This window comes from Homo sapiens, chromosome 5 (assembly GCF_000001405.40).
Source record: "Homo sapiens chromosome 5, GRCh38.p14 Primary Assembly".
NCBI classification, from domain to species: Eukaryota; Metazoa; Chordata; class Mammalia; order Primates; family Hominidae; genus Homo; species Homo sapiens.
This window is the reverse complement of record NC_000005.10, coordinates 80,032,647-80,053,614: the sequence shown is the minus strand read 5'-3', so window position 1 is coordinate 80,053,614 and position 20,968 is coordinate 80,032,647. Positions and strand designations below refer to the sequence as shown.

Sequence of the window (20,968 nt, the reverse complement as noted above, 5' to 3'; positions counted from 1 at the left end):
GCCAGTCTTCAGCTGTCCCAGGGTGGGAAAGCGTTAAGTAGAACTTAAAGCAGAACTTTTCTGGAGGGTAATTTAGTCACATGCATCAGAACCTTAAACATGTGTAAACCCAACAGCCCAGCATTGCCACTTCTAGGAACTAAAACTGAGGAAATTAAAGAAAAGAAGCACTTCAGCACTGTCCTGGGTTATAGAAAAAAAAAAAAAAGCAGCACCAAGATGTATGGGTGAGAATGTTCATTTCAGAAATACTTATTGTAATCAACACTTGGCACAACATATATGTCCAAAAGGAGAGGGCTGGCTACTTAAATTACAGTATAATTATAAAATGGAATACTATGGAATAGCTGAATATTAAAAACACAAAAAGACATTCCCAGTATTTTGTTAAGTAAAAAAAAAAGGAGGTTATAGGTCAATATGGGTTTAGAAAAAAGTGTGCATGTGTATATATATGTACATATATGTATACATACATACCTAGAAGATTAGAAGAAAATATGTCTACATTAGTATGGTTATTTGCTGGGTGTTTGGATGGTATTTTTTTCTTCCTGCTCATCTTCATTGTTTTAACTTTTCTACAAGAAACAACCATTACTTGTATATAAAAATAATAAAAAGATATATATTACACATATACACCCAGACTGTGCTGCTGTTAATCTGTGTGATCTGTGGCAAGTAACTTGGACCATCTTTCTCCTCAGGTACCTTTTCTGTAGAGTGTAAATGCCAAGATGGTGCCGCCAGAGATGAACTAGCCAAGAATACCTATTTATGTTGCAGTATCGCCAAAGATAATAATCACTATTGTGGAACATGAAGGATATATTTTAAGGCTTTCTCCACATTAGACTTTCTAGGTTCATTTTCCCACCCTTCTGAAATCTGACTCGATTTTCCAGTTGACCACAGTCTGAAGAGAGCCAGTTGGCGTGAGGTTCTGTGACCTACACAGATGGTGGGAGGAGTCAGACGGGAAATCTCTTATGTCGACGTGGTCACCACCACTTGCTTCTTGAGGGAGAAGAATCGGAAAGACCTGGCAAGACAGACTAGCTAGAAGGGCTTTCTGATTCCAGAACAATACTAAGTTTCCTGAAGTAAAGTATTAAATAAATATAAATAAATGGTAAGACGTATATAAATGTGGTATGAAGAGGAAGAAAATAATGGAATGGAGGGAAATAGACACAAATAGAAATTCTAAGGTATTTCTAATCTGGGATAGAACAGAATTCTTCTCCTTTTATTTAATATTAATTGTTGAGAATTCACATGTACCCCTTAAATATGTAAAAAGTATGTATCAATAAAAATAATTTGTATCTGAAAATTTTTTTAATGTTGAGAATTTACAATAGTAACTGCACAGCTGGAAATTAGAACCATATATAGTAACCAAAAGAGGGAGAAATTGAGTCCAAACATATGCACTAACTCAATTTTTAAAAAACTTCTATTACATTACTATTTAGAACAGTTTTGCAAATACCTGTAGTTTTTACAGGCCAAGAAAAATACCACTTGGACCACCAAACTTGAATTAGGTCACACACACACTCACTCACTATCTCCTTATTTCAGTTATGGCCACTACCTCTGTTCTCTACATTAACTGTTTCAGAGCATACACATAGTGGCTTATAACAAAAACTCTTGATTTTTCTTCCTCAAACTAAGATTTCTGTGAAATTCAAAGGAAACATATTTTCTTGGGCATGTTGCCTGCTTTTAACAGGGCTTCACAGGGTATGTGGGCCATGGTTTATTTTCATAACTAAATAGCTGGCTTTAATTTGATGAATAGTACCTAGTGGGATACTTTACATATAGCAGGTGCACACTAAATGTTGTTAATATAAACTTTAAATGAATAATTAAATGATTGTATTTAAAGCTTTTTATATAGAAAATAAAGTTTAGAGAGCAGCAATTCAACATCTAATTCCAGGTAGCAAAACCTCCTATTGTGTTCATACTCTCATTTAAGTGGATTCTGTACTTCTGCCTTGCTTTTTGTTGCAATGTAACACTCAAATGACAAATCCCTCATGCCCCTAGATCTCATGACAATAGCAAAAGAAAACGCAGGGAAGGAAAACCATGGAAACTTCCACCTTCACAATGTCTGTTTGTTAGCAGAAAAATTATCAAGTGCCTTGACATTTCCCATTCTTCACACTTGATCCAATACTCATTTCTCTTATGGCTTCCATTTTTCATTTTCTTTTTTATTGCAAATTCTTTACTTCAGTGCCTCTACACTTATTTTATTATCAGAGCAGTTAGACTACCCAGAGGGCAAGCAGGCTCAGGAAACTCAACGTTTTCACATCAGTCATATGGAGTCTGGAAAAAGCAGAAAGCTCTGGCCCCAGGAGCCTGCAGCCTGTTGGGTGCGAGTTTTCCTCACCTTCTCCAGAGGCAGCATCACTGGGAAGGGGAAGAGAACAGACAGGGTTCCCTTCCTCTTGCCAGCCCCCTTTCCCGGTGCTCATCTTGCCCTATCTTATCCCAACACATCCACACATAGCAGAAGGAACAAAACGCAGGGGAAAACACTACAGCAGGAGGAAGATGACCATTTTGTCCCTCCAGGAAGGAAGAAGAAGCCAGGCCCCTGAGGCTGGAACCATCCCACCTCCCGACTCGACCACACCTCTGCCTGGCCACCACCCTGGAAAGCACTCAGGAAAACAGTCACTGGGTATGAAACTGTCTTTGCCAAATTATAACTCAGGAAATTATGACAGTGAGAGAAATCAGACCTAACCGACTCTATCTGGCTTCTAACACTTAAGCTTTCCTTGTTCATTCCCGGGCACAGGCCGAACTAACTTTGGGAAGGAATTCAGTAGATGCTTTGACTCTGAAGCAAAATTGATAACAGCCCTTTCCCGAAGACCCTCTTCTTGCCTGGGGACCAGTCTGCCTTTGCAGGACTAATAAATTAGCTACAGGATTAGAAATTACAGTTTAGAGGTCATGCAGCCTCTGGCTCCAAGAGTCTGAGCAATCCCCAAATTGCTCCCCAAATACCTCCAAATTGGGGGAACATCACTATTGTAAAGCCTAACATCAGTGCTTGAGATATTTTGCAGACCCTGCACTGGATGTATCAGCTGACACCACCCAGACCAGTAATGTGGCCCAATCATTTCTGCCATCACACCCAGGAACAGAAGACGTTAAGAAAACCTAACTTTGACCCACTATGATTTCATTTCCAGCCTGACCAATCAGCACTCCCCACTTCCCAAGCCCCTACCTGCAAAATTATCTTTAAAAACTCTGATCCCTGAATGCTTGGGGAGACTGATTTGAGTAATAATAAAACTCTGGTCTCCCACACAGCCAGCTCTACGTGAATTACCCTTTCTCCATTGCAATTCCCCTGTCTTGATAAATGGGTTCTGTGTAGGCAGTGGGCAAGGTGAACCCACTGGGCGGTTCCAGGTACAACTCTGTTTCTTCAGCTGCAGCACATTGAGTTCACATCCTTGGTTTTCACTCACCACCAGCTGCACAGGTTTTCTTGGCAATTGCAGCTGGTTATTGTGCAGGGTTAGTACCCAGAATGCAGTGCAGATTGGATTGGAACTGAAGGCTGTCAGTCAGTGGGTGCTCGGATCTCAAACGGTGTCTCTGACTCTGCTCCACCTCTGGGCTGCTCTGTTAGATTCCTGACTCCCCTTCCTACTTTAGGTCTCTTTCTGCACGGACTTTTTGGACTGAGAGATTGAACTTCTTATAGGACTGTTCTGATCGTTATTGCCTCCTCAAAGCAAGCAAGCAAATGAAATCCTTCAATAACTCCCTAGTGGATTCTAAATAATGTTTCAACTCCTTATCCCAGGACTGGCCCTAATCTTCCCACCACCTTAAGTCCCTTCATGCTGCCAAGTCTATATCTTACTGATTTTCCCACATCCCATAGTATCTGAGGGCACCACTACAACTACTTATGGGAAGTGAAAAAAAATAGATAAAATAGAGTGTGTCCACTCTGACTTTTATTACTCACAATTATGTCTTTTTTAAAATGTGGAACACTTTGTTGGTTATATAAATCCTTTCCCTCTAAACTTGGCATCTTTGTGTAATTGACAATTTGGTCAGGAGTTTGAGACCAGCCTGGCCAACATGGTGAAACCCCATCTCTACTAAGGATAACAACAATAACAAAAAAAATTAGGTGGGCGTGGTGGCGCCTGCCTGTAACCCCAGCTACTCAGGATTGCCTGATTTTATGGCACTGTCCAAGAGCTACATTTCCATGCTTGGGACCAGCCGGACACAGGAACCACATAGCCCAGTCTGATTAAATACGATTTCAGTGACTGGCAGGAGATGAAAAAGCAAGCCCAGGCAATGAAGATTTGAAATATTGCTATCTTCAGAAAGAATTTTCAAAAGATGCTTTTTGAAAAGTGGACCTGGTAGTCAAAAATATTATGATATGTTGAATGTCAAAGTTATGAAGCAGGGTGCCAGCTTTAAAGAACTGGAAATGATAATATTTTGTCTGCTTGGGCAAAGGAGTCCAGAGTGGCCTGGCCTGCAGGCAGCAAACTCACAAAGGTAGTCTGGAGCTCTTTGCTTTGTTTGGCAAATGGCTTTGCTCTTTGGCACTTTTAAACATATGATGGAAGCCATCATTGTCAATCTTTCCTCTTCTTTTTAAATAATTGTACATTTAAAAATTGCCTCCTTGACATTAATGTCTCTTGTGATGGATATTCTTGTTTGCCTTTGCTTATTCATCTTCATGCCCTATACACTAGGTCTTTGTAACTTTAGTGCTTTGGAAATACATACAAAAGGTAAATCAGCAAATTGCTTTTTCTGAAAGTACTCTGGGTGACTCCTAGCTGTGATAAATGCAGTCTGTTTCAAAGTTTTCTTATGGCAATTTGAATAAATGTAAAGTATACAGAGTAACACACACACACACACACACACACACACACACATCTATCTAGTGAAAGGAAACACAGCAATTATGCTAAACATCTGCAGAGGACTTTGTGTTTTGAAAAAGTATGAGATTCATCATAGTATGCAACTATCTAGTAGACAACAAAGCAGTGAGTGTGCACAGAAGCCCAAGGTCATGTTACAGGAAAGAGGTGCAAAGCAATTTCTTAAGTGCCTATGAAACTTCTCTAGCCTTGGTACAATGACAAAATATTAGCATTATAAGTCATCCAGCTTAATATCTCACTTCACAAATTCCTTCAATAAAAGTGCAGCCTCTACCAGCACATTTCCAGTAACAAGGAACTCATTACTTTGCAGAGAAGTCCATTTCACTTTTGGATCACTCTCCAAGATTTTCCTAATACAGAGCCAATATCTGTTTCCTCTGTCTTCTACCAATGGATCCTAATTTTACTCTTCAGAGCTAGACAGAGATTTAGTCTGATCTTCATTCCAAATGACATTTTTCAAATATTATTTAAAAATTATTTTTAATTATTTTTATTTTTTTGAAACAAGAGCTTGCCCTGTTGCCCAGGCTGGAGTGCAGTGGCATGATCACGGCTCACTGCTGCCTCAGACTCCTGGGCTCAAGTGATCCTCCTGCCACAGCCTCCTGAGTAGCTGGAACTACAGGCATGTACCAGCGAGCCAGGCTAATTTTTTAAAAAATGTATTTTTGGCTGGGTGCGGTGGCTCATGCCTGTAATCCCAGCACTTTGGGAGGCCGAGGTGGGTGGATCACGTGGTCAGGAGTTTGAGACCAGCCTGGCCAACATGGTGAAACCCCATCTCTACTAAGGATAACGACAACAACAAAAAAAATTAGGCGGGTGTGGTGGCGCCTGCCTGTAACCCCAGCTACTCAGGAGGCTGAGGCAGGAGAATCGCTTGAACCTGGGAGGTGGAAGTTGCAGTGAGCTGAGGACGCGCCATTGCACTCCAGCCTGGGCAACAGGGTGAGACTCTGTCTCAAAAAAAAAAAAAAAAAATTCTTAATTTTTTACCCAGACTGGTCTTGAATGTGTGGGCTCAAGTGATACTCCTGCCTCAGACTCCCAAAGTGCTGGGATTACAGGCATGAGCCACGGCACCTAGCCCTTTTTTCAAATATTGTAAGGCAATTTTCATATTTTTCATGTCTTCTGTCTGGCTTCTTCATTTCTCTAGTTCCTTTAACTTTTCTACTTAAATGTGGTAAAAACAAAAAACAGAAAACAAAAAACAAAAAACAAAACCAAACAAAACAAAAAAACGGGGTCCAGATAGGTGCTCTTTTGGTGACTCTTTTCAAGGTAATCTTTGACTTGACAGTGTCCTTGTGAAATGTGTCCAGGACTAGACACAGTATTAGATGTGGCCTGGACAATTAAGAGTACAGTGGGACTCTTAGCTTCTTTAACCTGGCCATATGTATGCACTAATGAAACCTAAAATGTAAGGAGCTTTTTATAAACAGTTGCATCACAGTATCTGTTCATTCATTCATTCGGCAAATATTTTTGAGTATCCATTATGTGTCAGGCACTATCCTCAACACTGATTAGGATTTGTTGTTGATTAGAGAACTCTTAGGACAGATGTCTCACATCCTGAACTTCTGCAATTTGCTTTTCACTCCTAGTTGATAGCTTTACATTTATTCTTGTTAAATTTCATCTGATTGATTTTGGCCCATTGTATTATCTGGTAGGACTTTGTAAATATGAATGATAGTATCCAACATGTTCAACTGTTTTCTAGCTTTGAATTGCAAACACGATAAAATGCTGTCTTTGCTCAAGTCACTGACATGTTGGACAGTTCAATACCCAAGACAGAGCCCTGTCAAAAACCACTAGATAATTTGCTATACAGTGACTTAGCAACCCCTAGCGGTACTATTACCTAGCTCGTTCTTTTTTATATTATTTAGAAAGGTATAATAAGCGACTTCATCCAATTCTTTTCTGAAGTCAGATACATTATGCTCACAGCATGTTTTTTTAATCTATCAGCTTTGAAACTTTACTGAAAAAAAAAAGTTTGGCATGATTTATTCTTAGTAAATCCACTTTGTCTTAGAAAAAATCCCAGATTTCTTTTCTGGGCAATCCCAAAATACATGAATAATCATATAACCCTCTGGAGCTCTGTCCTAAATTTCAGTAGCCTGTGGTTTTCAGAATCCACCCTTCCCTTCTTTATAAAAATGGAAACATTTGCCTGTCCTGTCTTTTAGGACCTTTCTGTTCTCCATGATTTCTAAATGAACTAACAGTGGCTCCACTATGACTTTCTTCACTAAATATCCCAATGTGTAATTCATCTGCTCCTGAATAGTTAATCTCACTAAAGAGAGTGGGCGTTTTTCTGCTATCTCCTCATCTAGCTTGGATTTTTGTTTTCTTTTAACTGTTCTTGACAATTTGAAGAACACTCCCCTTGATGGGTAAGACAGAAACAAAAGAGCCATCTATGACTTACCTCTATCACCTGTTAATCTCCCATTACCTATTCCAGGAGGTAGGCTTATTTCTTCCATATCTTCCATATCTTATTCTGAACATGGCTAAAAACATCCATTTTATTATCTTATGTGTGAATCACCAACTTTGACTCAATTAGGTTTTAGCTTTTTTGTCCTAATTATTATAGTTTTGTGTCAAATTTTAAAATTCTTTCCATCTTCTGCACATGACCACTTTAAAATTAAGCTAATTCAAGGGCATGTCATAGGAATATTGTGAAAGTTAAAAGGGGAAATAGGCTTTGAGCTTTTAACACAGTCCTGGTACATTAAAAAGACTCCATAGGGCCGGGCATGGTTGCTCACGGCTGTAATCCCAGCACTTTGGGAGGCCGAAGCAGGCAGATCATCTGAGGTCGCGAGTTTGAGATCAGCCTGACCAACATGGAGAAACCCTGTCTCTACTAAAAATACAAAAATTAGCTGGGTCTGGTGGCGCATGCCTATAATCCCAGCTAATTGGGAGGCTGAGGCAGGAGAATCACTTGAACCCGGGAGGCGGAGGTTGCAGTGAGCCAAGATCGCGCCATTGCACTCCAACCTGGGCAACAAGAGCAAAACTCCGTCTCAAAAAAAAAAAAAAAAGACTCCATAAATATTATTATTAATGTTTGAGGCCCCTCATTTTTTCCACTTATTATTGTGTCTATAATTTTATTTTTTAAGCTCTACCATCTCTCTTAATCTATATTTCTCTTTAGCTTGCAAGCTACAGAACCACTACTCTGAACTATTTGACATGTCCTATCCTTAGGCTAAGGAGTTTCACTGACACTCTCTGGTCATTACAGCAAACACTTTGGGTTTCCTTCACTTCACAGCACCAAGTTGTTCTGAGACAATCATACTAAGACTAAAGAAGCAGTTCTTGTGTTTCTTTTTCTGAAAGGTGAAATTGTCATCAAGGCAAGCCAAGAGTTCACCAAACCATCATCATTAGAAAACAGTTGCCTAAATAGTGGAAATCTGTCTCTAATACTGTTTAAGAGTATGAAAATTTTATTAAGCCTCATAGTCTGAAGAAAGTTATTATACCTTATATAATTCAGTTCTTGCAACCAGCCTGTGAGGTAGCTATTATTATCCCCATTTTATAGGCAATCAACAAGGGCTAAGAGAGATTCAGAGATGTATTCATGGTGATGCAGTTTGTGACTCAAACTCAGGATACAAACTGGAAAGTTGTCTTTACGCCAGATACTAGAAGAGCATCAGCCATATCTTCTATCCAGCCAGGTGGTTTCTGCAGGATGCTTATTTCTATCAAGATTTAAAGGCTGTATTACTCATAACCTGGCAGATCACTTCTACCAGAAATACTACCTGTATCCTCTTACATCCTATTCCAAAAGCCCTTCAATATTTATTCATTAAAAAAAAAAATCTTTTTTTGGCTGAGTGTGGTGGCTCAGACCTGTAAGCCCAGCAATTTAGGAGGCCGAGACAGGAGGATCACTTGAGGCCAGGAGTTCGAGACCAGCCTGGCCAATATGGCAAAACCCCATCTCTACTAAAAAAATAGAAAAATTAGCTGGGCGTAGTGGTGCGCACATGTAGTTCCAGCTACTCGGGAGGCTGAGGCAGGAGAGTCAGTCGAACCTAGGAGGCAGAGGCTGCAGTGAGCCGATATCTAGCGACTGCACTCCAGCCTGGGTGACAGAGTAAGACTCTGTCTCATAAATAAATAAATAATTTTTTTTTTATTACCTACTATGTGTCAGATATTGTGGAATCCCAGAATTTCACAATGGTGTATGTCATTTTTCACAAACAAGTCTACTCTTCTCAGCCTCCATTTATTCTTTTCAATCTATCCATGAACTACTTCTATGTACAAGGCACCTTGCTAGGTGCTGCAGCAGATGCAAAGATAAGGGCTGTATAGTCCCTGTCTCAAGAGAGCTCCCAACCAAATGGAGAGAAGACCTAGAAGTAATTCAAGTACAAGGTGAGCTAAGATGAATGTCTTCCTTAAGAGGTACAAAGTCATATTAGAAAGAATATCAGAAGGAGCTGGAGATGGGTCTTGAATGTGTAGGATTTGGGTGTCAAGAGGTGATGCAGGATATGTGTCGAGGGAGCAGACAGCAGGAACAAAAGGATGGAGGAGAGGCAGCATGTGCGGCCCCAAGGAATGGCAATAGCCTATCTTGGTGAAGCTCAGGCTGCATGGAGGCTGGAATGAGGGATAAACTGGAAAGGCTGCTTGGGGCCATGCAGAGTGGAAGCCCCGAATGCCTTGCTGAGACATGGGTACATTATTCAATTTGGAAAGGGGGCCACTAGAGGTCTCAGAGGTCAGATGTATCTTGATCCAAATTATGTTTGTGAACAGTAATGAGGTGGCCTGGGGTAGGCTGACTTGGAGAGGGTGAGAGTAGAAGCAGAGAGCTCAGTGGCAAACTCTTTCTTTGCAGTCTTCATTAGCTACATTTTAATTTGTTTCAGGAGGTCATATGAGGCCCAGATGACCAAATTCTGCTCTTTGATGCTGTGTAGTCACCCTCCTTCATCTCCCAGTCCTGGACTTTAATGGAGGGAAGGGTGTGTTTTATTTCCTACTCAGGTGTTTTAAGTCAGTAGAGATCCACTTGGATTTCTTCTGTTTCACCGTTTTCCACGCAAATCAGCAAAAGAGGAGATCAGCTGAACCTTGGCCAGATGAATGCTGTCTGGAGCCTACCATGTCCAGGTAGATAATTTGTGGAGGGTTGTGGGGAGAATTATGTCAAGTCAGCATGGCCACCACTGAACACTGCAGTGGGGAGTCTCAACCACAGGCTCTGTCTTTTCCTTGGATCTGATGGACCCAGTGACTTCTTTTTATTGTTCCAGTCAGAATGGACTTCTCTTTCCTGAAACTTTTATATTCACCAGTGCTGGCAAATCTTCGTATTTTTTCCGACTGCTCCAGTGAAACAACTTCTCTGTGTCATTCTTCAACTCTTCAAGCTCTAATAACAGCATAAATCCCTCTTTGCCTTATGAGAATTCTCATTTCTAGATTCTTCCAGGACTCCTTCTGCCCCCACAGTTTCTAAGAACAATTTATCTTTCCTAATAGGTTGGAGGGTAGGGAGATGTTCATCTTTCAGTTCTTCATCTCAACCCTTTCATCTTTTCCTCTAATTTTTTTTTTCTTTTGAGACAGAGTCTCGCTCTGTCACCCAGGCTGAAGTGTGGAGTGCAGCGGCACAATCTCAGCTCACTGCAACCTCTGCCTCCTGGGTTCAAGTGATTCTCCTGCCTCAGCCTCCCGAGTAGCTGTGACTATAGGCACATACTGCCATGCCTGGCTAATTTTTGTATTTTTAGTAGAGATGGGGTTTCTCCATGTTGGCCATGCTGTTCTCGAACTCCTGACCTCAGGTGATCTGCCTGCCTCAGCCTCCCAAAGTGCTGGGATTACAGCCCCTAAAATATTTGATCAACTGGTATTTACAGCTGACTCATATTACTGGTGATTCTTCAGAGGAAACATACTAACGATCCCCTTACCCTCTACCTACTGCCCATTAAATCCAGTGTTACTCTTGTCTATACAAACTGAAAGGATCCGTTCAGGGGAAGTTGCTTCCTTGTGTTTCCCAGCAACAGACTTTCCACAATGGGCTCACACATACTGGCCAATTTAGAAATAGAGGGTGAGAGGCAGTGAGGGCAAAAGCTTGGAGCAGTTTTTTACTCTGCAGAGGAACTTCTGGCCATTAAGCTGGATGAACCGAAAGAAAAATCTTTGCAATGCCTCTGAAATAGACAGGTTAGGAGAAGCTGCTGATCCACAGATGAAGAACGGTGATTTTTACGATCACAAACTGAGTAGCTGGGTTGTCAGAAGATGAGCAGTTCCTTCAGCAGATGCTAGGCAAAATGGGGCTGTTTGATTCAAGGCAGAGACATGGGCAGAATCCCCCCTCATTAGGGCTGAAGATGGGGAAAGGGGGACAGGAACGGTTGACCCATCTGCTGGCCATGTCCTCAGACTCACTTTATTATCTGACACCTCCTCAAGGCCCCTGACAGGCTATGAGGCACATACAGAGAAAGCAGACTTGGGAGTAGCGTGGAAGCAGGCAAGAAGCATGTTGGAATCTGACAGAAAAGAAGGGGTTAAAGTCCCATTCATTTATACTTTTAACTTTAGAGTCCTATGAAAGTTAAGAATTAGAAACTTCTTTCATTTCCTAATGCCTGCAGATTTAAGTGTACAATCACAAATATAATCTAAGAGAGAGTTTGAAGCACTAGGAAGTGTCCACTTTGTAAAGCAAACTGAAATAAACATAAAACCCAGCCAGAAGAACCAGCCCTCCTATTTTATTAAATGCATGAAGCAGCAGGAACACGCATCTGTCACATTCCTTAATAAACAGGAACAGGTGTTGTCCCCCGGGGAAGGAGTGGAGGAGAAGGCAATGAAAAATAGTGACCATTTTCTTTGGGACTCACTTCTCAGTGCTTATAGTAACTCACTACGGCAACAAAACAAATGACAGCAGAGGGATCAAACCAGTGACAGGCCTGTGTAAATTGGCACGCACAGGGAGAAAAGAGCCCTATTCATCCTGTTCTACTGGTTGAGGTATATTCTTTCCATCACGGCCAGGTAGGTGCTTAAGGAGTTAGGAGCTAGGTCTACTGAGCACTGGCTTCAAAGGGAACATAAGAATAGTATGGGGTGGCTGTCATGGGCTGAATGTTTGTATCTGTCCCCTTCCTCCCGCCCCATCAAATTCATATACTGAACTCCTAATCTCCAGTGTGATGGTATTTGGAGGTGGGGCTTTTGGGAGATGATTAGGTTTAGATGAGGTCCTGAGGGTGTGGCCCTCATGATGGGAATAGTGACTTTATAAGAAGAGACACAAGAGAGCTTGCTGTCTGTCTTCATCATGTGAGGACACAATAAAAAGATGGCCATCTACAATCCAGGAACTGGGCCCTTACAAGGAGCCAAATCTGCGGGTGGTATGGTTTGGATATGGTATGTCTGTCCCTGTCAAAACTCGTGCTGAAATTTGGTCCCCAATGTGGCGGTGTTGGGAGGTAGGGCCTTGTGGGAGGCATATGAATTATGGGATTGGATCTCTCATGAATGGCTTGGTGCTGTTCTCGAGACAGTGAGTTTCAGCTCTTGTGAAAATGGATTAGTTCTCAAGGGAATGAATTAGTTCTTGAGAGAGTGGGTTATTATAAAGCTACGGTGCCCCTCAGGTTTTCCCCTCTTCCCATGTGTCTGCTCCCTCTTTGACCTTCTCCACCACGTTGTGACACAAGAAAGTCCTTGTCAGAAGCCAGGGCCATGCCCTTGAACTTCCAGCCTGCAGGACTGTGAGCTAAATAAATCTCTTTTCTTTATAAATTACCCAGTCTCCGGTAGTCTTTTATAGCAACACAAAATGGACTGAGATGGCACCATGATCTTAGACTTACCACTGTCTAGAACTGTGAGATGTAAATGTCTATTGTTTAAGCCACAAAGTCTATGGTATTTTGTTATAGCAGCCTGAGCTGCCTAAGATAATGGCTGAATTGTCCCTTGTCCTCTCTGTTCCAGAACTGGATTCAGAATAACATCAGGATGAGACAATGTCAAAAAGCATCTTGGTCACAGCAATTCTTTTTTTCTCCCAATGTCACTTTCTTCCTGAACCGCCCCCCACCCCCCCGCCAATATAGGTAAATGTACAGTAAGAAGAATTCAGTATTAAAAACTGAAATGACTAGTGAGTGAGAATATAATTGTACAAGGAAACCATCTCAAAGACAGTATACCCCTAATCCTGGAATAGAAAAAGGAGATTTTTAAGAAAATAATTTCAGCAAATTTGCTTACCTTTGTTTAAGCGTCCCATCACAGTAAATTCAAAATATTTACTGTTGTCAGTTGAAGAGTAAAGACCGAAGATGGTGGCTGAACTTTTAGTCTGCAGCTTGAAGGTGGAAATCACATAGAGATCATTCAGGGCGGGGTCTGTCAGGACTGGCAGCAGAGCGCCTGGGTTTAGCCTCTGACTGGAAGATGGGAGAAGGTCAAAGACTGGGAAGAAGGGAGAAGAAGGGGTATAAGTGAAAGATTCAATTTTGGGGAAAACAGGGTTTCTTTGTTTGGGGGGGGTGCAATTTGACAGTAAGCTACAAAGTAATGTAAACTAATCTTGTAATCCCTTTTCCGTATTGCCAAACTCACCAGTTCTTCCCTGTCACTTTTATAGTGGCTGGACATTTGAGCCAGAAGAAATACAGCACAATATTCATCACTGGGTGTAGCCCTCAAGAGAGAGGACTGAATTTGCAAACACATAATTGGGTTTGGCTGAACAAGTAGCTCTGAAAATGCCCACCAGGAAAAGCACTAAAGGCTTAAAGTACAAGGGGGACTGGTGAAAGCATCCAAGCCATTGCTTTACTGATGTCCCCAAGCAGTGAATTTCTGTCACGGAGTCCCATAGGCACCTCCAGGACCAGAGCCAATTGTGTTTTCCTGGTCAGTGACAAATGACAGGAAATGCAGCAGAAAACATGGCTATGGTGGTAGATGTGCTGGTAGAAAGTGATTTGCCACCTTTGTGAGACCTAAGTGTTCCCTTTGTGCCTTTACAATTCTCCAACATTTCTCTGTTTAAAAAAATCCCAATGTGGAAACAAAACAAAACAAAATGATGTGGTTTCTGTCTCTTGACTGATAGAATTGCTCTACAAAAATCAGAATCTGCATTTGTATTTGTATAAGTTGCTTTTGATCAAGCAAGCAGTACTTTCTCTCACAAACTTTGTAATATTTATGAAAGCTATGAGAGAGTATGCCCAGAGTCATTTAAAAGGCAAAGGCCAAATTTGGGTAATACTCAGTGGAAGTTATTTAGTATATCTATTAGCAGACGCAAATATCATTTGAACAATTCCATAGGCTGCAGAAACTTCAGCACCTACAGCTGTCTCTTGGATATAATAATCTGGTTATTAAATGGGTAATATTGACAATTGATAAAGAGTTCTTACAAATCAATAAAATGATAAGCATCTTAATAGAAAAATGGGCAAGGAATATGAAAAGGCAATTTACATAAAAAGAATTACAATGACCATTAAGTATATAAATAAATGTTCATGTATTTACCTAATGATGCAGGAGTTGCTAACTTAAACAATAACGTATTGTTTTCACCATCGAATTGGAAAATTAGTAAATACAACAGTACTCAACTGTTTGTGAGGGTTCAGGGAAATGGGCACTCTCTGTACCACTGTGTAACATTTAAACTAGTATAAACATTTTGAAGACAGTTTAAACAACAGTATCAAAGGCCCTAAAACATATGTGCTCCTTGATCTAGCAATTCTGCTTATGGGAATTTATCCTAGGGAAATAATGGATAACATGGTAAATGATTTAGGTACAAGAATATTAGACACTAGTGGTAATTCTAGAATTTCTATTTAGGAAAGAATTAGGTGAAAATCTAATTGGAAGAGAGGTAAACCTGAGCTCTGTTGGCATAGCATTTTGCTATGAAAACATTAACTGTCCTTAGCAAAAAAAAAGAGAAGGGCTTGGCTGAGATTGAGGGGATGGTTAAACTCATCCCAAACCATCCTGTGACACCTGCACTTGTTCAATAAATTAATATTTACAATATCAAAACCGAAAACAACTTAAGGGTTCTATATTACAACCCTGGCTAAATACATTTTGATTCTTCCAAAAAGCAGAATACTACCTATTTTTAAAATGTAGCTGAATACTTACAGATGTGAAAAGATGTTCATGATACATTAAGAAAAAAGGATTCTAAAACTATATGTATAACGTAATTCCATTTGAAATATATTTTTGCATAGAAAAATATTTGAAATGAAAGACAATACAACAACATGTTAATGTTAATAGAAGCTATCCCCGGGTTGCATAAATATAAGTTTTAAATTTCCTCTTTTCTTTTTATTTTATTTTTTGCTTATCTAACTTTAATCTTTTCTACAATGGGCAGGTATTGCTTTTGTAATAAGAATGAATAAAAGTTCTAAAGCAAACAGGCAAAAACCTAGTTACTCAAGAATATTTACCCCTTTTAAAAGACAATTTGTCTTCAAACTGGATCTATACTGTATTTTTCACATGTACCAGGGGTCCTTACACAATAATGAAATTAACATGAGATGTGTTGGAAAGCAGAACATTTACTGTGCTCCTCTTAGTGCCTATATCCCTAAACCATAAACACTGTTGCCTACTGCATTTCAAAAGGGAAATTGGATTTTTTAATTTTCAAGAGAATTGGAAACTTTACATTTCCACTAATGAGGGCAAAGGGAAATAAGGCAATATGTTTTAAAGTTCCATTCAGGACAAAACATCTTCAGAAAAGAGATATGTATTTAAAGTATGGGAACTACATTCAAAACAAAATTCTTAGTACTCTTGATTCTTCCTTTGACTATGATCAGGTTCATGATGTAACTCAAGCTAAACTTGCGGTATTTCAATCTATGGTTCGTCTGATTCATTTGCATCTCTCTCAAGCGGCAGAGATGGGATTAGTTAGTAATGAACATAGAGAGTGTTTTGAAAAGGAAATGAGACACTACCATTTTCTATTAATGTTATTACGTTTAAGTGCCAGGATCAAAGCACAACCCTCTACTGTTAGAGGTGAAATTACTGCTACCAATGAGCGCAGCTACCATGGTATGTAAATTGAATATATACTAATTTAAGACCAACAATGAAGCTCAGGGGAAGAAGGAGATAATCAAATTATCCTGTTAAGCCTGATAATTGCAGACTAGATAATGCAATAAAAGAATCTATCAGAAACTTAACTTAATCAGATCATCTACAGCAACTAAATTACCCAGATAATTTAGGTTGTATAGGCCGAGTTCAAATCTCCATAAAATGGTCAGGTATGTCTGAGACATACCTAAGGCACACCATAAAGCTGTATGTTCAAAAGTCAAGAACGTATATAACACAAAAAAATTATACCTATAAATTTGAACTTGCCAAATATCATCACAATAAGACTTTTGAAGTGTTTAAAAGCTTCCTTTTTTACCTTCCTAGAAGTATGGGGCACGGACTACAGCATTTCAAATACTTCAACACAAACTAAAAGTTAGCAGTACTCTAACCCCTGAAACCACAGTTCTGGTTGTCTGGTCTGGAATGAAAATGAGTTATTTGGCGAAATGCAGTTTAAATGGGTGATTCCAGCAGCGAGAGGCAGGGAAGTTGAGAACGCCCTCATAGGCAGTCTTTGCTCTGGCTACAAGAGGAAAAACAACTTTTACTTCAAGTTGTGCGTCTCTTCCAGTTTTACTTCCACAGTCAGTAATAAATCAACCCAGGCACCAAGTTCAAACAGATGAAGCTCACGCCTGACCAGTTAGGGCCAGTTATAGCCCTAAGATCTTTCTTTGCTTAAATCATGTCTTCCTTTTGGTCTTTACAAAAAATTCTGTTTAACTGCTTTCTACCCAATGGCTATTTCACCCCATTTCACCAAGGGGTTTGAGGATTGTCCAAGTATCTTTTCACATTATTTGTTGAATTTTTACCGTTTCATAGAAAAAGATCAATTTCTTTCTTTTTTCTTTTTAAATTATAGATTCAGAGGGTACATGTGCAAGTTTGTTACATGGGTGCATTGCATAAGGTGGGATTTGAGCTTCTAGTGAACACATCACCCAGTGAACGTAGTACCCAATTGGTAGTTTTCCCAACCTTCCCCCCTACTTTTGGAGTCCCCAGTGTCTACTGTTTCCATCTTTATGTCCATATCTATCCACTGCTTAGCTCCCGCTTGTGAGAACATGGTATTTGCTTTTCTGTTCCTGCCTTAATCCACTTAGGAAAATGGCCTCCAGCTGCATCCATCTTGCTGCAAAGAACTGATTTCATTGAAAAAGACCAGTTTCTCAGCCCTTCCTATTTACCTCAGAAATTAAGACATCAAGCCAATCCTTGAAATAAACTTTCTTTTTGTCGTTCAAGCAAAGTCAGAGCAGAAAATGCAGGTGGCAGGGCAAGTAGAGTAATTCTGCGTCTTTCTCAGGGATGTCAAGAGCAGACTCTGGGCATACATCGCTCCGCCTGAGGAAGGATTTAGGGAGCAAGGCTGCCTGGAGGGAACCGGCACAGGGTGCAGGACCCGGAATTCACCCTACACCAGAGCCTAACATGTTAAGAGGTCTAGGACCGTGTAGCAAGTTTTGAAGGCAACCCCACCCCACATCTTTGCATAGTCTGAAACAATTTTGCATCCCCCAACTATTTAGGCAATTGTTCTCATCATTGGATAATCGAATTTCGGAAAATTCTAGACTAATCACTACCTCCAATCACAATATGCTTTGATTGGGCCCGGGAGGGACAGAGAGGGGCTGAGCAAGGCCACAGGAGCACAGGGCCGAGCAAGTCCCTCCACTCACTCAGCAGATGGGGCACCCGGTGCCCGGCGCTCCCAGGCCCGACCCGAACCCACTTACCCTGGGGGGTGGCCTGGGCGCCTGCCGCTAGCCACCGCTGCAGGACCAGGTGCAGCAGGAGGACGGCGGCTCCGCGCGGGGCCAGCATGTTGGCTCTTCCTGCTCCCCGCGAGGCCGGGGGCGACGGCGGCGTTGGCCCCGCCTGGGGGTCCCCGGGCCGTGCGTTGAACCTCGGTCGGCGCCCGGGCCGGCGCCGCAGGTGACCCGTGCTCGGCGTCCGGGCTGCCGTCGGGGGCGCGCTCGCGTCCCCGCCGTGCGGTGCTGGGGAGCTGGCTGCTGGGCTCCGCGGCAGCGGCCGGGCGCTTTATGGTGCGGCCGGGCGGGGGAGGGCCGGGGCGGGGGCGGCCCCCTTGGCGGGATCCCCTGTCCTGGGAAGAGCTGGGCAGCTGGAGCAGCGAGCCGGGGCCGCAGGGAGAAAGGCGCGGGTGTGAGGATGGGAAGGAGCCTGGACGGACCAGGTCCTGGGGTGGGTGTAGACACGGCCCCGACGCGCGAGGGTAGGGGCGAAGATGGGCAGTCGGGGCTGGAGAGAAAGGGGTGCTGAGCAGAGACCACAGGGGAGAAAGGAGCGGGAGGAAAGGGGCGAAAGGGAGGAAGAAAGTGACACTGACCCACTAGCTTTGGGCACCTTCAGTCCCCTACTCCTTGCGCTCCTTTTGTTTTCTAAAAAGAAGAATATCCTTTGGATCGGCTTTGAATGCCCACCTTGGGTTCCCTTGCGAATGAATCCTGAAGTTCTCCAGGAACGCTCTGCCTCCTAAAGTGGCCCAGAGAGCAGCGAGTTTCTTTTATTTCTTCAAGCTTTTCTTGAATACTTGAAAGGCTGAATTTTTTTCTCTATCATTTTGAGACACAGTGAAAGTTTGAAAGTTGTTGTGTTTTTAATGGAGATAAAACACATCTCAAGGAATCCATCCAGACAGAGCCATTTCTAGGCTGGTGAATCTGTGCTTTATGGATAATTCGTTTTCAGTATGGTTTCCAAACGCCCTGCTTGCCCACCTCTATTCCTCTGTCACCAAAGATTCCGTGTGACAGTTTAAAGGTACGGGAGTAGAACTTGAAAGAGATCGGAGGAACGCAAGTAATTCGTCCTTTTCCTGGGCAAAGCTCCCGGAATGATATGGATTAACTAGAGGAAAAAATATTTGATAAACAGTGGCAAAAATTTCTCCTCTGTAACAATCTCGACTAATGGAGAACATCCAGCAAAGTATTGCTATCTCTTTTATGTCTCAAATAATTCCATTTCAAAGTTTAATAAGCCACAAACTGGGAGATTAATGCACCATTTTATCCCCAAACTGTGCTAAAATAACCTGACACCAATTATCACTCAATTTACAGCTAGCGACTTGGAGATTTGTGAGCTATCTGCAGAGCTCTCTAATATGTAAGGTCCAATACAGGTCTATCCAGGGTTCCTTTAATGCCACATTACACTACAGTCACTCTTTGGAATGGGGCATATGTCTACACATGAGAGAACACTGAGAGACACAGAGGATGTGCATAAATATCGACTAATGAGATAAACTAGATTTGGGAACATTCAAATCTCCAGACCATGTTCCCAGGAGTGGCCTGGGTTTGAGAGGAATCTAGGCTCCCAAGCTACGCTTCAAGCAGAACAGCCTTGCCTTTCTATGTTTTTACAGTAGACTTCAGAGATTAAGATTTTCTGTGAAGACAATATTTGGATGCTCAAAATTTTGAAAGCCACTATTCAGTGGTTCTCAGCTGATTGGGTATACCAGAATCTCCTGGGGAATTTAAAAAACAGTGATTAGGTGCCTACAGGGAACAAATGAAACCAAACATCAAAAGCAGCAATATGCTATATCACACCATAGACTACTCTGATACATAAAATAGGGTTACTCCTTAAATGAGTCACCAAGCAAGCCTAGTGGATGCCTGTGAGAGTTCTTGTGTAGTGTGCCACCAGACACTGCCTGTTTCCTCTCAGATCTGGTGCTCACCTTCCACTGCATGCTTGTCAGCAGTCTAGATAAAATGGGAGACTAGAGAGCAATAAGAAGGTAGAAGGTAGACACTAGAGTATTTACTTCTCTGTGACCTGAATGGATGCATCTTCTTTGTGACTCTTGCAGGTGGGGTCCACCATGATTCTAGCTTCTGCCTTCTCACCATTTGCACCCTCCAGCCATGACATTGGAGGTCACTTACTGCAGTTGCTAAAATGTGGATTGCCTCACTCTTCTGTTTGACATCTCAGTTCTTCTACTATATATGTAATCATTTCCCTGTATTAAATTTCTTCTATTTAAAATACCTAGAGTATTTGCTAGGAATCTCCATGGTGAGGACAATGCACCACGTGCTGCTGGAGGTAGATGTGTTGGAGGGCACCCTGCAGTGCCCAGAGTCTGGACGTGTGTTCCCCATCAGCCGCAGGATCCCCAACATGCTGCTGAATGATGAGGAAACAGAGTTGATCATGCCAGGTGCCAGTTTTTCTTTTTATGACCGTGTGTATTTTTGTTGATGTTACCCTGTTTCTGAATTCTGCCATGTGTGTCCCCAACCCTTGACCCAATGACACACCAGACGCACGGTGTTCTTGAGCACAATAGTATTTTTTCTCATTAAAGATTCAAAACCAAAACAAACAAACAACAAAAAAACTAGGAATTTTCGATCCTAGCAAATTCCCAGCAAAATAGCTTGCACATCATGATGGTTAATGTTGAGTGTCAACTTGACTGGATTGAAGGATGTAAAGTATGGCTCCTGTGTGTGTCTGTGAGGGTGCTGCCAAAGGAGATTAACACCTGAGTCAGTGGACTGGGAAAGGCGGACCCACCCTCAATCTGGGTAGGCACCATCTAATCAGCTGCCAGCATGGCTAGAATAAAGCAGGCAGGAGAAGACGGAAGAGCAGACTTGCTGCGTCTTCTGGCCTTGATCTTTTTCTGTGCTGGATGCTTCCTGCCCGCAAACATTAGACTCCAAGTT

At 41.7% G+C, this 20,968-nt stretch overlaps 1 protein-coding gene and 1 pseudogene across 7 annotated transcripts in view; one reads left to right on the top strand and one right to left on the bottom strand.

The window, feature by feature from the left end:
• THBS4 (thrombospondin 4) overlaps positions 1 to 20,968 on the bottom strand; it is a 91,956-nt gene that overhangs the window by 29,673 nt on the left and 41,315 nt on the right. For 4 of the 7 annotated variants that reach the window (XR_007058633.1, NM_003248.6, XM_047417678.1 and 1 more), the window contains exons 1-2: positions 17,990 to 18,267; positions 13,335 to 13,538 (exon numbers count right to left, since the gene is read on the bottom strand). Coding sequence is in view for 6 of the 7 variants with exons in the window: in NM_003248.6 (NP_003239.2) it covers positions 13,335 to 13,538; positions 17,990 to 18,077 (292 nt within the window). In the remaining variant the exon portion in view is untranslated. Of the gene's footprint in view, positions 1 to 13,334; positions 13,539 to 17,437; positions 17,593 to 17,989; positions 18,268 to 20,968 lie in introns of those variants that run through there. The other 3 variants (NM_001306213.2, NM_001306212.2, NM_001306214.2) reach the window with 2 other exon arrangements.
• On the top strand, positions 20,313 to 20,444 carry TRMT112P2 (tRNA methyltransferase subunit 11-2 pseudogene 2; annotated as a pseudogene).